Source organism: Homo sapiens, chromosome 17 (assembly GCF_000001405.40).
Source record: "Homo sapiens chromosome 17, GRCh38.p14 Primary Assembly".
In the NCBI taxonomy this organism is placed as follows: domain Eukaryota; kingdom Metazoa; phylum Chordata; class Mammalia; order Primates; family Hominidae; genus Homo; species Homo sapiens.
Window position 1 is genome coordinate 49,283,729 of NC_000017.11, and position 15,469 is coordinate 49,299,197.

The 15,469-nt window shown below is 41.4% G+C and overlaps 1 protein-coding gene and 1 non-coding gene across 12 annotated transcripts in view; both read right to left on the reverse strand.

Annotated features, from left to right (window-relative positions):
• Window positions 1–4,388: 4,388 nt before the first annotated feature.
• ZNF652 (zinc finger protein 652) overlaps window positions 4,389–15,469 on the reverse strand; it is a 74,357-nt gene continuing 63,276 nt past the window's right edge. For 9 of the 11 annotated variants that reach the window (XM_047435629.1, NM_014897.2, XM_047435628.1 and 6 more), the window contains one exon: window positions 5,478–15,196. In XM_047435629.1, coding sequence (XP_047291585.1) covers window positions 14,685–15,196 — 512 coding nt within the window. In that variant the 3' untranslated portion in view covers window positions 5,478–14,684. Of the gene's footprint in view, window positions 15,197–15,469 lie in introns of all 11 variants that reach the window. The other 2 variants (XR_934423.3, NR_135579.2) reach the window with 2 other exon arrangements.
• On the reverse strand, window positions 4,618–4,726 carry MIR6129 (microRNA 6129). Its single transcript, NR_106745.1, has one exon. It is a non-coding gene; the product is annotated as a microRNA 6129 (primary transcript).

Here is a 15,469-nt window from a genome sequence, read left to right on the forward strand (position 1 = left end):
TTACAGGTGTGAGCCACGGTGTCCATCCCTGGTTCTTTTAACAGTTCTTCTTTCATTTATTCCTTTATTTATTTATTTATTGAGAGACAGAGTTTCACTCTGTTGCCCAGGCTGGAGTAGAATGGCGTGCTCTTGGCTCACTGCAACCTCTGCCTCCTGGGTTCAAGCAGTTCTCTTGCTTCAGCTTCCCAAGTAGCTGGGACTACAGGTGTGTGTCACCACACCCAGCTAATTTTTGCATTTTTTAGTGAAGACGGGGTTTCTCCATGTTGGCCAGGCTGGTCTCAAACTCCTGACCTCAAGTGATCCGCCCGCCTCTGCCTCCCAAAGTGCTGGGATTACAGGTGTGAGCCACCATGCCCAGCCTCTTCAATTTATTTCTATCCTCTTGCATTTTACTATGAGCAGCAAAAAGAAAGTAGGCTTTGCCTAGAAAAATGTCATTGGCTAAATATGTACATTCATTGATTACAAGTTCTGTTTTTCCATAGAACTGCTAGACACAATTCCACTAAGCTTTCTGCCACTACATGATAAGAATCTCCCATCCCCAGCCTCCAACAACATGCTCCTCATTTCCTCCTGAGCTCCCACTGTCAGCGTCAAGTCAGGTTTCTACTAATGGTCTGTTCGTGGAGACTGAACCTTTATCTAAGATATTGAGAATTTCTATACATTCTTTAGAATTTAGGATTCTCCTTTCTTCTGACCAGCAACGTCTTTAGCATCCATATTTCTTTTTTTTTTTTTTTTGAGATGCTCTGTCACCCAGGCTGGAGTGCAGTGGCGTGATCGTGGCTCACTGCAACCTCCGCCTCCTGGGTTCAAGCAATTCTCCTACCTCAGCCTCCCAAGTAGCTGGGATTACTGGTGTGCACCATGCCCAGCTAATTTTTGTATTTTTAGTAGAGACAGGGTTTCACCATTTTGCCCAGGCTAGTCTTGAATTCCTGATCTCAGGTGATCCACCCGCCTCAGCCTCCCAAAGTGCTGGGATTACAGGCATGAGCCGCCGTGCCCAGCCAGTATCCATATTTCTAAGAAAGGTCTGCTTAAGGAAATCTAGGCTTTTTCTATCAAGCTCCTCAAAATTCTTCCAGCCTTCACTCACTGTGCAATTCCAAAGTCATTCCCACATTTTTAGATATTTGTTATAGCATCCCACTTCTGGGTAGCCACATCTCTCTTAGTTTTCTAGTGCTGCATAACAGATACCACAAATGTGGTGGCTTTAAACAGCACAAGGCCTTCTGATTTTCACACATGACCTCAATTGGTGGCTAAACGCCTCCAGCCTTTCATTAGCTTTCTTGAATGCATCAGTGGTGTTCACCAAAAGCCTTCAGATTCTTCGGAATCTGAAGCCTTCACCATCTGTAGAATCAGTACTCCCTCCAACCTCTCAAAAGCCTATGATAACCGGGCATGGTGGCTCATGCCTGCAATCTCAGCACTTTGGGAGACTGAAATGGGAGGATCATTTGAGGCCAGGAGTTCAAGTCCGGCATGGGCAACAAAGTGAGACTGTCTCTAAAAGAAAAGTCTATGATACTGCACGCACCACCATGCATTCCCTTCCACAGGTTCACCACTAGTGAAAGTTTGAGCAATTCCACCACTTCGGCACACTTAGGATATCAGTTCCACCTGCCACTAGTGATGGCTGGCAAGTGATCCAGGTCCAAAACCCTATTTTATTATTTTATTTTATTTTTGAGATGGAGTTCAAGCGATTCTCCTGCCTCAGCCTCCCAAGTAGCTGGGATTACTGGTGTGTGCCACTACCCCTGGCTAATTTTTGTATTTTTAGTAGAGACAGGGTTTCACCATGTTGTAGTCTTGAACTCCTGGCCTCAGGTGATCCACCCGCCTCGGCCTCCCAAAGTGCTGGGATTACAGGCGTGAGCCACCGCACCTGGCCCCCGAACTCCTTTTTAGAGTTGGCTTTCCCACACCACTCCTGGTGCTAACTGTATTAGATCAGGTTCCCCAGGAACCCACACGACGACTGAGAACCAAAACCTGAGGACTGAAGGAAGCAGGATTGGACAAAAGGCCATGTGGGGTGCAGAGGTGAGCTGTCATGCAGTCACAAGGGCCTCAGGTGATCTTGCGGAAGTTTGGGAGAGGGTGGCTCTTTGGAATTGTCCCACCCAAGGCACAGATAAGGGTCTTTATGCCTCTTCATCAACCAGCCATTGTATGTGAACTGCCCGGGGGAGGGGAGGTGGCTTTCCTCAGCTTAGCGCAATTCCAGGAGAGGGACACAGCTGAGAGCTATTGGCACAAACAGCCGGGAGGATGAGTGCCTCAGTCCCTGAAGGGAGGGGACCTGGGTGGCCCCCCTGCCCCATCCACTGCCATTATTATTTTCTGCATCTCCCAATAGTTAATATTTGTACTTTGTATTAATTGTCTATTGCTGCATAGCAAATTACCCCCTGAACTTAGAGGCTTAAAACAACAAATATTTGTAACCTCGCAGTTTCCGCTGGTCAAGAATCTGAGGCTGTGTGTCTGGCTCAGGGGCTCTCAGGAGACAGTCATCAAGCTACTGGCTTAGAAGCACCTCAAAACTCTGCTGTGGCTGGAGGGAACCATTTCCAGGCTCACTCATGTGACTGTCGGCAGGCCTCAGAAGACCCACTGCAAGCCCACTCACTGGGTGCTGGCAGGCTTGCGATCCATGGCACGACTTCCGTAGGCTGCCTAAGTAACCTCGTGACATGGCGGCTGGTGAATGGAGAGCAAGAGACCACACCAAGTCTGTTTGTATAATAACTTAATCTTGGAAGTGACATCTCATCATTTCTGCCATATTGTATTTGTTTGAAGTCACTCAGTTGGCCCGGCGGGGTGGCTCACATCTGTAATCCCAACCTCACTTTGGGAGGCCGAGGCGGGTGGATCACCTGAGGTCAGGAGTTCAAGACCAGCCTGGCCAACATGGCGAAACCCGATCTCTACTAAAAAAAAAAAAAAAAAAAAAAAAAAAAAACATTAGCCGGGGTGGTGGCGCGTGCCTGTAATCCCAGCTACCCGGGAGGCTGAGGCAGGAGAATTGCTTGAACCCAGGAGGCAGAGGTTGCAGTGAGCCAAGATTGCGCCACTGCACTCTAGACTGGGTGACAGAGTGGGATTCGGTCTCAAACAAACAAACAAACAAAAGTCGGCCGGGTGCGGTGGCTCAGGAGGCTGAGGCAGGAGAATCGCTTGAATCTGGGAGGCGGAGGTTGCGGTGAGCCGAGATCGCACCATTGCACTCCAGCCTGGGCAACAAGAGCGAAACTCCGTCTCAAAAAAAAAAAAAAGTTTTGGATTTTGGAGCATTTTAAATTTTGGATTAGGGATGCTCAACCTGTACTCAGTTATGGCCAAAAAAGTCAAGCTTCTTGCACAAGGAACTGGTACAAAGATATAAACTTTCAGTAACTTATACCTAAATCTGGGGGCTGTTTCAAGTTATCTATTGCTGTGTAACAAACCACCCCAAATCTTAGTGATTTATAATAATACTATAATAATAGTTTATATCTCATGATCCTATGGGTTGGCTGAGAGGTTATTCTGCTGGTCTCACCTGAACTTTTTTTTTTGAAATGGAGTCTCGTTCTGTTGCCCAGGCTGGAGGGCAGTGGTGCAATCTTGGCTCCTGGGTTCAAGTGATTCTCCTACCCCAGTCTCCTGAGTAGCGGGATTACAGGTGCCCACCACCAGGCCTGGCTAATTTTGTATTTTTAGTAGAGATGGGGTTTCGCCATGTTGCCCAGGCTGGTCTTGAACCCCTAACTTCAAGTGATCCACCCACTTCAACCTACCAAAGTGTTGGGATTACAGGTGTGAGCCACCGCACCCGGCCTCGCCTAGACTCTTAAGCATGCATTTACCTGTGGGTCAGCTGAGCTGGTGGGTCCAAGATGTCCTCACCCACGTCTGGAGCTGGGCAGGGACAGCTGGGAACTCTTGTCTCGATACAGCTCTCATCGCTCTGGTCTAGCCTGAGCTTTTTACTTGGCAGGCATGTTTCAAGAAAGGAAAATAAAGGCAGAGGCTGGGCGCGGTGTCTCATGCCTGTAATCCCAGCACTTTGAGAGGCCAAGGCAGGTGGATCACGAGGTGGAGATCGAGAACATCCTGGCCAACATGGTGAAACCCCGTCTCTACTAAAAATACAAAAATTAGCTGGGCATGATGGCGTGCGCCTATAGTCCCAGCTACTCGGGAGGCTGAGGCAGGAGAATCGCTTGAACCCAGGAGGCAGAGGTTGCAGTGAGCTGAGATCACACCACTGCCCTCCAGCTTGGGCAACAGAGCAAGACTCCATCTCAAAAAAAAAAAAAAAAAAAAAAGAAAAAAGAAAAATAGAAAATATCAAAGTGCAGCACATATATTTTTCTTGAACCTTTTATTCACTTATATAAATAAACTCATATATATATGTATTGAGTAGCAAAGTAGTGGTAAAAATATTTCTTGCTATGGGGTCATGGTGAAAGTTTGAAAGCACTTATTTAGTATATACTCAGGTGGGAGTGATTACCTACCCTGTATCTATGAAGAAACTGTGTTAACATCTACATCTAGTTAGAGATACAAGATGATAAAGAATAGCAATTCTATGATTTGGGCAGTTTTATTCCATTCTAAGAGGTTTCAAAGGGAAACTTGGACAATAAGATTTCCTTCCTATACACCCAACTCCCTCACTGGAATCCTTAGAAGGAACAAAATCAGGTGGCTTATGGGCTGGGAAGGCTTATTATGACAGAAGCTAGTTGATCTTCCAGCTGACTACAGTCACAGCTCTGAGGGCAAGCTTCACAGTATAAGGGCCCACACCACCTGACATTATATAAGATCATCATTTGTTTATTGTCAGGGTTTCTCCACTAGAAAGCAGGGTCTGTGAGAGTAGAGCCTGTCTTTCTCATTGCTGAATCCCCAGTGGCCAGATCAATGTCCAGCACGTATTAGGCATCTAATAAACATTTGTGGAATAAATGAATGACTGAATGAAGGGGGTAGAGGTAGGGAAAGATGCCTCATCCCAAGTACCATATTTTATAATTATTGCTTTTCACTGACTGTACTTTGTAAGCTGTTTCCATCTGTGTTGATTTTTCTTCAAATTGGTTCAGAACCCAATCCTGATCCTTTTTCCAAACACTGTTCTCAAGGATACTTTCAGATTATTGCTCGGCTGAACAAACTAGTGTTACTGAAACCAAACAGCGCTGCAAAGAGAGAACTAATCACTCTGCCTTTGGTTAACAGCCTTGAAAACATGTTATTCATGAAGAGATCAGGCAGGGTTTGAGGTAGGTCAGCCTATTACCATCACTAGAAACAACAAATAACAGCAGAAGAGGACTGCAGGATTGTTCATTTTTCTCAAAAAGGGCAATTTGTTAGCCAGGGGGACCTCAAAATGTTGTCACCTGAGGGTAAGGAAGAAATGAAGAAAGACACACAGGGGATATGGCTGCTTTTTTTTTTTTTTTTTACTTTGAACATTAGCATTAAGTTGGTTACCGTACACATCCAAAGGCCCAGCATCTCAGAAAAATCATTAGGCGGCACACCTGTACCAGAGTCTCACAAGAATAAAATATACAATGCTACATTGAGTGGTTAAAAATACACAAAAAAGTAGTTTTAACAATCTATAAATTTTTTATACTTAAAATCATGATTGAGTTGAAATAAAAAAGTGCATTTCAATTGCTAAAAAAATAATATCGGTATAGTTAACACAAGGGGGAAATCAGTACATTGAGGGATCTGACAGGATGCTGGAAAAAATGACTCAGGGAAGCCGGGCAGCATGGGCTCCTTTGGAGATTCAGGAGCGGAGCTCAGTTCCACCTCACTGCAGTTCCCTGGGGCCAAGCAGCCCTCCTCTCCCCAGTATCTTTCCCATCTTAAGAGATCCTGTCCTACCTACCTGTCACCTCCCCAACCCAAAGACTCCTCTAAACTTCTTTGCAGCATGACAGCTGCCTGCCCTACACTGAGTCTACTTGACCTTCAATTGCGTCTCCGCAGAGAGGTAGGAGAGGGACACTGCCCCATTCTGGACTTGACATAAGTACCCCAGCCACATGGCCTTCATCCTTATGACCTAGCAGGCAGAACAGGGACCAAGCAGCTTCTATTTTGTCAAACTCCTTTGGACAAATATTCAACATTCAACAACAAGCTTTGTAAACCTAACGCTAAACAAGTCATGGCAAGCAAACTGGATTTTCTTAAGAAATGAGGAAAAGTGCAAGTGATCTCAGTACTGTTGGGGAAAACAAAAATAAAAACAAACAAGTTGCACCTGGCCACTTGCTGCCTAAACCAATCACAGCTTCAGTTTTGTTTTTTGTCAAGTGTTGGAGTTACAAGTAGACACCTCTCTGTGCCTGGTATTGCTCAGGTTCAGACTTGGCTGGGGGTGAGGTGGCCAGGCAGAAATCAGTTAAGAAGGCCATTCCAGGTGTAAATGCCTCCCGGCTCTACAGGGGGTAATATTTACTGTCGTCTTTTCCCTTCCCAGGTTGATTACTGACCTGTTTGTTGTGAAGATGCTGCTGCAATAAGCACAAACAGAACTCATGGCCAGAGAGCTGATGACCACGGATAGGAGCCCTTAGACAAGTAACTGACAGAGAGGGAGCACACACAGTTTCTAACCTGGAGTGCCCGTTGCACTGGTCAGGAGGAAGTGCCTGACCTAGAGGACTTGTTCCCTGATGTAACAGATATCTCTTTGGAGCAGAGAAGGTGAGAAGCATTTCCTTACTCATACTCCAGAGTTCCCCCAGTGCTCTTGTTCCTCCTATAGATGTGATGGTGGTGGCCTGCGGAGGAGATAGGAGTGGAGAAGCCTGCCTGCTCTGCCTTTAGCACACAAAGGCGCCCCTATGGGAAGGTCCTGGCTTTCAATCTGGGGATCATCAATATGTAAAAAGTCTAATTAATTAAGATGCCTGACCCACAAGGACTCCACACCCACACATCAATCATTGCTTGGCATCATGAGGGATGAACGACGACTGGACTTTGTAATAAGGGAAAATTTCTTAAATAATCAAAATACATGAATAAGCTTTGAGCTAAGAGGCTATTCCAGAAGAGATTTAAAAGTGGGATCTTTCTTTAGAAGGTTGAGAATAAAGCTAACGTACTTTATTGCTCCCTTGTGGACAAAGCCAGAACTGCTGATGGAAAACAGTCACACAGCCCATGTCAAGAAATGAATAAAATGCATATTCAAATTTATGGAAGATTGAGAAGAAATCATCCCATTTTCAGAGGCTACATATATGCCCTTGGGGAGACAACTTAAGAAGTAAACACCAAAATTATGTCACACTGTTTCTTTTTAAACTAATGAATTGAATTAATAGAGCATGAAAAGATATTTCTAGGAGGGTTAGGAGCTCTAGCAGAATAAAATACTTCCCACCAACTTTCAAATGCAATGAAACAGTCTTGAGTCCTGTACAGGATGTCTATCATGCTCATCAGACGGTCCCTTTTCACCCATAAAAGACAGGTAGGGAGGAAGCTGTGTTCATTCAGAGGAGCTGGATATTCCAGAAACAACTTGACTCTTTGGCACATCCAGTACAGACACAGGCTCTTTAGTTGATCAGAACTAGCCAAGGCAAGTATCAGATTTCCTTCTGAAGTTAAGCAAAATTCAGCTTCTACCTCCTTTCTTGCCCCATCCTCACTTCCTATGAAATCATTTTCAAGTAATATGTAACATCCCTGATCTCACCAGAGAAGCTGACGTAGTGTGAAAGTAACCTGCGACTGGAAAGCTATGGGAACACTTCTCAGGGGCAGGAACTCCCTTGAATGTGTGTGTCAGAAGTTTCCTACTGAAGACATACAAGACAGCAGGCTGTCTCAAGGATGTGGTTCCTCCAAGTGACAAGCAAGTACAGCTCTCCGTTGTTTTATGGCCTGGGACCCTGAAGAGAAAAGCCACAAATTTTAAAGTAGATACTAAGTTACTAGTTACTATCCAAGAGGCAAACTTCTAGATCAATAATGAGGAAGAAACATCATGGCAAATCAAGTGAAAGGTAATTAACACAACAAGAAACCCGTTACTGATTTCTGTAACATAAAAATCTACCTTTTTCATTTTGTAAACTCACCTTCCCATCCCAAATAGCAGTGAAGCCTTCAAAAATCTTGAATTTATTCATCATCAAACATAACCAATTCTCACAATTTTGCACTATCTCACCAATAATATCTTTCCTGTTGCCAGACAGGAAAGATGGAGAATGTATTAACAGCTGCCTTCTTAGATACCCACCTTGTGTGGTTATTAGTCTTAAAAACCTGAGTACTATTAACTTTAAGGAAAAGGACATGAGATTTTAAGTCAGAAAGGAAAAATGCTGACTAAGGCCCAAATGCTCAACTCCAAGCTTTCATTCACCTAAAAAAATGCAATCAAATCTCCTCATTTGAAAGAGTTCTTTTTTTTTTTCCTTTTTCTCCAGTTTTGGAGGAGAACTGGAAGGGAGTAAAAAGACCTGTCCACAGCACAAACTTCCACTCTGGCTGTGAAGGACTAGCCAATTGCTAAATGTTTCATCACGGAGGTGCTCGATCATATTATATAAAACACTGCAACCTCCTTTTCATTACATCCTTCATATATTATGGATCCATCATACATTTTAAACAAATTAGATGAAAACAGCTAGAAAAAGTAAACAGAAGTTTTTGAGGGACAGGGCCATGAGAGAGCAGAAACCCAGGGAGCAATTTTAAATTAATTTGACTAAAATAAAGAGTATAGTCTTGCAAAATGTGTACGGAAGGGAGTGGGCACATGGGAACAGGGCAGAGCAACAGCAGCACTCAGGATCCTTTCATCAGAAAGGGGAGGCATTCAGGAAGACTTCAGTTGAGAAAAAGGTGTTCAAAAGACATTCAATGACCTTTAATTTTAAAGGAACGTCAAATTTCTGGTGAAAGTAAAAAAAGTGAAGAGTCAAATAAGGATAAAATCTTTCAACAGAGAGACGAAATATGTGAAGAAATAAGATATAAATAAAAGTTAAAAATATAACCTAAAAATGACATGGAGGAACAAAACAGAAATACGGTCAAAATTCTTGTCCAAGGTTTTAGCTAGTTTGTAGAGTTAAGCCCATTGGAATATGGGTGAATTCCAATATTCATGGATAATGAAATAGTCAGAGGTAGGATTTAGATCAGGAAAAGAATGTTCCAGGATGCTGGCATTTTGAAGGCACTCAAAAACAGAGTGAGAGAGACTGAAGCTGCAGTGACATCAGAGGATTAGAGAGAGGTGCATACTCATGTGTCTGTCATAAAGAAATAAAACAACTCCAGGAACCTGTGACCATACATATATTATTGAGTAATACATAGAGTAACAAAGCAGAAAGAAAGCCACCTTGTAAGTAGTTTCTTACTACAATACAGATTCTATCTAGTGAACAAGAAACAGTTTGTTTTCCAAATATGTATGTCTGCAAAGTATTCTGACTTAAGTAAAGAATTTGATAAATGGTATGTGATCTGGTTCTTTAAACAAATTTACTGAAGCAAAAGCTTCAAAGCTGGAACAACCAAGGAGTTTGATTTTCCTTTGAATCTTGCAAAACCTATCCTCTGAGACAAAAAGATCTGATCATAAAGTCTATAAAAAAGTCTAGAAAGTATAAAAGTATAGAACTATGAAAGTGGATATATTGATGGCAACTTTTATGGCTTCCATAGAAAGTGTAGAGAGGATCTCTGGTTTGCTTTATCGAGGTAGTGTCCAGGGTTGGAAGGTCATCATTCTTTATTGTAAGTGCTACAGATGACAAAAGCAGGTTAGCTAGGGTGTTGTTATTGCATAATAATGCCACTATTTCTAATGGCTTATGACCTTTCATTCCTAAAAAAAAAAAAAAAAAAAAAAAAAAAAAACTCTTAAGTAATTTCCTATCTTGGTTCAGGCAAAGGAAAATTAAAACCCAAACTTTACTTGCTCAATTTTATAGTCCGAAGAATTCCAAATGAGTTGATTTTTTTAAAACAGTAATTAGCTGATACAATTCTTAAATGTAATGTATCCCTTTTTTCATTAAGTACTTCTCATACAGTCTAGAACAGCATTGAAATATTTATCATGTGGACCAGCAATGCAATAAAAGTTGTCTTTTCTATACAGTAGCTCAAACAGAAAGGTTTCTCTAACTTTAGTTTTTTAGTTTTTTTTTAAAACATTAAAACCGACCTATCATTCTGTGTTTTACTAACTGAAACCTGCAAGATGGGGTAAATATACATATATCTGCAATGGATTTCTATCTCTGCTTCATCTTCTCAAAATTTAAAACTTCCAGTGAAATAATAATGGAACTAAACATACATATCTATTCAACAATCATAAAAACTGAAAAAAATTTCAAGAATTAAAAAATTCATAGTTTATAAGCATCTCATCAGAGCATTTTGCTTTCGGTTAGTATATGAGGGACAATCAAATTATAGGGACAGTTCTAACCACTAGAAAAGGATACTTCGAACAAATGTGGTTTTAAAAAAATGATGTAATTATGGTAATGGCCATGCTTAGTCATTAATCTAGAACAGTTAATGTAAATGGTAGACTATGAAAGTACAGGTAACTGATTTGCACAGTCTTCTTTGAACTAAAGTTTTTTTTGTGGCGATCTCCCCTCTTGCTAAAAATAAGAATCCAGTCACAAATATATGTGGAAATGAAGCCACATGCCTTTAAATTGTTGTCTTTTCTTCATTCAAATTTAAAAATCTAACTCCGAATGAGCCTATCTGACTCAATTTGAGAAAGCAGCAGCCTTTATTAAGGCTAAGGAAGAGTTTATATTTTACTGATAAATCTATGAGAGAAAATAGAAAAATAAAAACGAAACAAATACAAACCAACCCACACACACAAAAAATACAATGCCAACTCATCCTCAAATAAGTCTTAACCCTAGCAATGATACAAGCCTTTGAAGACAGTAAAACTAAGTAACGAGAGACAGCCTCAATTTGTTATCTATATAATGCTTAAATGCAGCCTTTGTTGTCTTTAACAGACATGTACAGATAAGGGCTGAGAACTCAAACTTCTCCATAATTCTTTTTTTCATAAACAGATAACAAGTAGGTAAAAAGTTTTGAAGAATTCATGGGGTGCTGTAGCATATATGGAAGAGAACATACCACATAATGCAACTTTTATCTTACAAAGAGGACCCCAACCAAATTTTCAACCCTGAGTTTGAGTCTTAAGCATGTTAAACGTGTTGCACATATATGTTTAAGGCTTAATCCTGCAGTTCTTCTATTCAGAAGCATTAATGTTGTGAATATTCTTTTTTTTTTTTTTTTTGAGATGGAGTCTCGCTCTGTTGCCCAGGCTGGAGCGCAGTGGCGCAATCTCGGCTCACTGCAAGCTCCGCCTCCTGGGTTCAATGTTGTGAATATTCTTAATGCATTTCATTATTTATATACAATATGATACTGATGAGGAGTCATTATATTCTGAGTAGTTTTCCTGAAGACCACAAGTCTCAAGTCAAGGAAAGTATCCTTAATCTAGGGGAAAAAAAGGAAGTTTCTAAATTGTTCCACAATACACTTCACTAAGAATTGTACTGTATGACAATGCTAATTTTTAAAAATAATATATATATATATTTTTGTTTCTGTTAAGGATGGTGGTATTTGCTTAATACTGGTTTTCCTGTATAGCAGATATTTTCTTATGGCTATATTTACTTGAATGAAAAATCAAAGATGACTACCTGAATATTCCAGTGTATAATTACAGTACAACCTCATGAAATGGTTGATTCTGTGGTCTCAAGTCTAGAATCCAGAATTGCTGCCCAATACTGTAAATTTATTCAGAACAAAATAAGGCAGTTGGACGTGGTGGCTCACGCCTGTAATCCCAGCACTTTCGGAGGCTGAGGTGGGCGGATCACAAGGTCAGGAGTTTGAGACCAGCCTGGCCAATATGGTGAAACCCCATCTCTGCCAAAAATACAAAACTTAGCCGGGCGTGCTGGCGCATGCCTGTAATTCCAGCTACTCGGGAGGCTGAGGCAGGAGAATCACTTGAACCCGGGGGGCGGGGGTTGCAGTGAGCCAAGATCACGCCACTGCACTCCAGCCCAGGCAACAGAACAAGACTCTGCCTCAAAAAAAAAAAAAAAAAAAAAAAAAAAACAGAACAAAATATAACCAATTAACTAAGCACAGTTTACATCTTTTAAAAAAATCATTTTAATACTACAGGCTTGACCATGAAATAATGATATGTCTATATAAAAGTGTAGGTTGACAAACTTGTCATGGAATGCCAAGGAGACTGTGGAGGGAGAGGGAGACAACCACTAAAGATATAACAGTCATATGCAAGGAATTAACTTTCCTTATTGGCTTGGGTACCTGGGTGCTCAAAGAATGTGTACAAATATTAAAAATACCATTCTTTAAAACTTACATCCAAAACCAGGAAGTATGTCTTGATATACTTTTCTGCCTCATTCCAAAATTTTCCTATGCTCATTATATAAGACAGGCAAAATCAGAAGGAGAAAATTTAGAAACACTAAACCAAAAAGCCAATAGAGAACGTGATGTTTGAAAAATATGGACTTAATCTCAATTGAAAGAGTTCATTTTTTCTTACCACAGAGCTCATTAGTTAGAAAAGTGCTCGAAGCATATCTGCACATTTAATATTAAAAATAAAAAAATAAATAAAAGCCAGCGTTCTGATTCAGGCAAAGATTTTAAGAAACCGAAGAAAGAAAAATGAAGAAATTTCAAGATTAAAAAATGGACTGGGCATGGTAGCATGCACCTGTAGTCCCAGCTACTTGGTTAGCTGAGGCAGGGTTGCTTGAACCCAAGAGTTGGAGGCTGTAGTGTGCTATAACTGCACCTGTGAATAGCCACTGCACTCTAGCCTGGGCAACATAGCAAGACCTTGTCTCTTAAAAAAAAAATTGGAGAGGGGGTGGGAGGTAAGTGATTTAGCCTGGGAACTCAGTTCTCTCAGATAAAGAAATACAAAATTTTAAGCTATACTGAGTCTGGATAAATATGATCTGTTAAGTGTAATCAATACACTAGCCCTTCTGTTCAGCCTTTCCTATAATAAGCTCCTGGTTGATTATGGTCTTTTGAAGTTCCCCAAACTTGAAAAAGTAATCTGCCTAAAGGTACTAGAGGTGCTGCTCTCTTTATCGCCTAAGAATGCTGGTATTACATAATTTGCAGAGGACAGGGCAGTAAAACTTAGGAGTTTTCCCTCACTATATTTAAACTGTGTTAAAATAGCTCAAGGTTGTGAACATATCCACATTTTACATATAATAGATATTTCAAAATTCATAACCAATTTGTCTTCTCATCTGAATTTCTCAGCCACTATCAGCAATGTCATGTTTGTGATTTTAAGTTTACTATTTTAGCTTCTTATAACAATTCTAGAAAAATAAAGCAACCTCAAAATGAGCGATTTCAATTTGTCATCCCATAAAAGTTAAACATCAACACAATTCCTAAGGGAAGTGAGAAACAGACGTGACTGAGATGAAATGATCTCCACTACTTCCTCCTCCTGTCAGCAAACAGCCTTATTCAAATTTTCAAAACATGCAAGCTTTAGGTGACTTCCCTGGAAAAGGCCCCATCCCCTGCAAATCATTTCATGTAATGCACTAACGAAGCCAAGCAGAACATGGAGGACAGGAGCACATTAGGGAGCCTCTCTTGAGTGTTAAGCAGAGATGTCAAAACTACCAAGTATTTACGCCAAATCCTGAAAGCAAAACCTCATTTTTGCAGTAACCTGGTCTGGAGACCCTCTCAGATACATCTAGTCTCTGAAGCACCTTTTGAGTTGTACGGATGTAAGAATAGCTTTGAATTATAGAAGTTATATGCATCTTTAAGAATCACATTTTGATGATTATAAAAATTTTTTTCTATTTTACAACATAGGTTCAGCTACACTGAAAAAATTACACTGCTTATTGAAATACATTTCATTTTAGAAACAGACTACCAAAGAAGTCTATACAAAAACTCTAAAATAATTTCTGTAGTAAAATAAAGAGTGCGTTAGGAGAGCTACACAAAGAAGAAAATTTCTGTCTTTCTCTATAATGCTTGATATACTGTGAAACATGGCCAGCTCAACTCTGTAGCTGGCACCAAAAGCTGAAAAGAATTCCTTACCATACACAGTGATACAATTAATGCTCTGGATTAATCTCACAGCCTTCCCGATTAGTACAAAGGAAACCAGGCCTATCCCCTCTTTGAGGAGAAGTCTGGGATATAAAAGCAAGCATACCTCATCAGCTGATATGAAATTATAAAATTCCACAAGTCTGAGTATTTGAAACTTATAAAAGTCATCAGAAAATGCAAGCAAATTGGGCTTTAGTTCAGTGGTTCCCCTGGTTTAGATGACAGTCCCTCTGTGAGCTCAAGGTAGTCTTCTTGTTCATTCCCTTGGATCTGTTGATTCAGTGACACTGGCGAAGCTCTTGGTAGAGGCGGAGGAGAGTCTGAGAACTAAGGAAATGCTCACCGACTCCCTCTGTGCACGCTCACACATGGGGACGTGTCTCCTGGAGAACACACTAAGGAGACGGATGTTAATGATGCTGTGCTGAACTGTTCTTCTCTGCCAGGTGCCGCAGAAAGTTGTCCTCACTCTGGCCTCTATGATTTAAAGGCTCACTCTTAAAGAGAGCTGGAGGTGGCGGGAGGTGAGGGACTGGAGGGATGGGAAGGTGGTGTGGGTGGTGAGGGTGTGGGTGGATGTGCAGGTGTGAGAAGGGGTGGGGGATGGGCCGAGGGGGAAGAGTGCTTACAGGATTCATATTGATTGGAGGGGTTGGGGTTGTGGCTGTGTTCACCACAGAAGGAACTGGGGTGGCTGGGGAAGTTGTAAGTGGGATCTGGACAGCAGGTGGCACATTCACGGGGCTGGTCACCCGAAAGCACTTCTCCTTGTGGGCCTTAAGCATGTTCGAGAAGCGGAACCGCTGGCCACACACATCACATGGATAGGGCTTCTCGCCTGTGTGAGTTCTGCGGTGTCTCTTCATGTTGGGGCGGCTGGTGAAGCTTTTGCCACAGATTTCACAGATAAAGGGTTTCTCTCCTGAGATGAACACAGACATAAAAATGATTAACATATTAGGTGGTAATTGTGTGCTCAAGCTTTTTTTTTTTAATAGAAATGGGGTCTCACTATGTTGATCAGGCTGGTCTCGAACTCCTGGCCTCAAGTGATCCTCCCATCTTGGCCTCCCAAAGTGCTGCGATTACAGGTGTGAGCCACTGCGCCTGGCCTATGAGACTGTATTCTAGAGTCATTTAAAAATCCTCTCAAATTTGGACTTAACAGATCACAGTAGATACAACTAAAACTTAC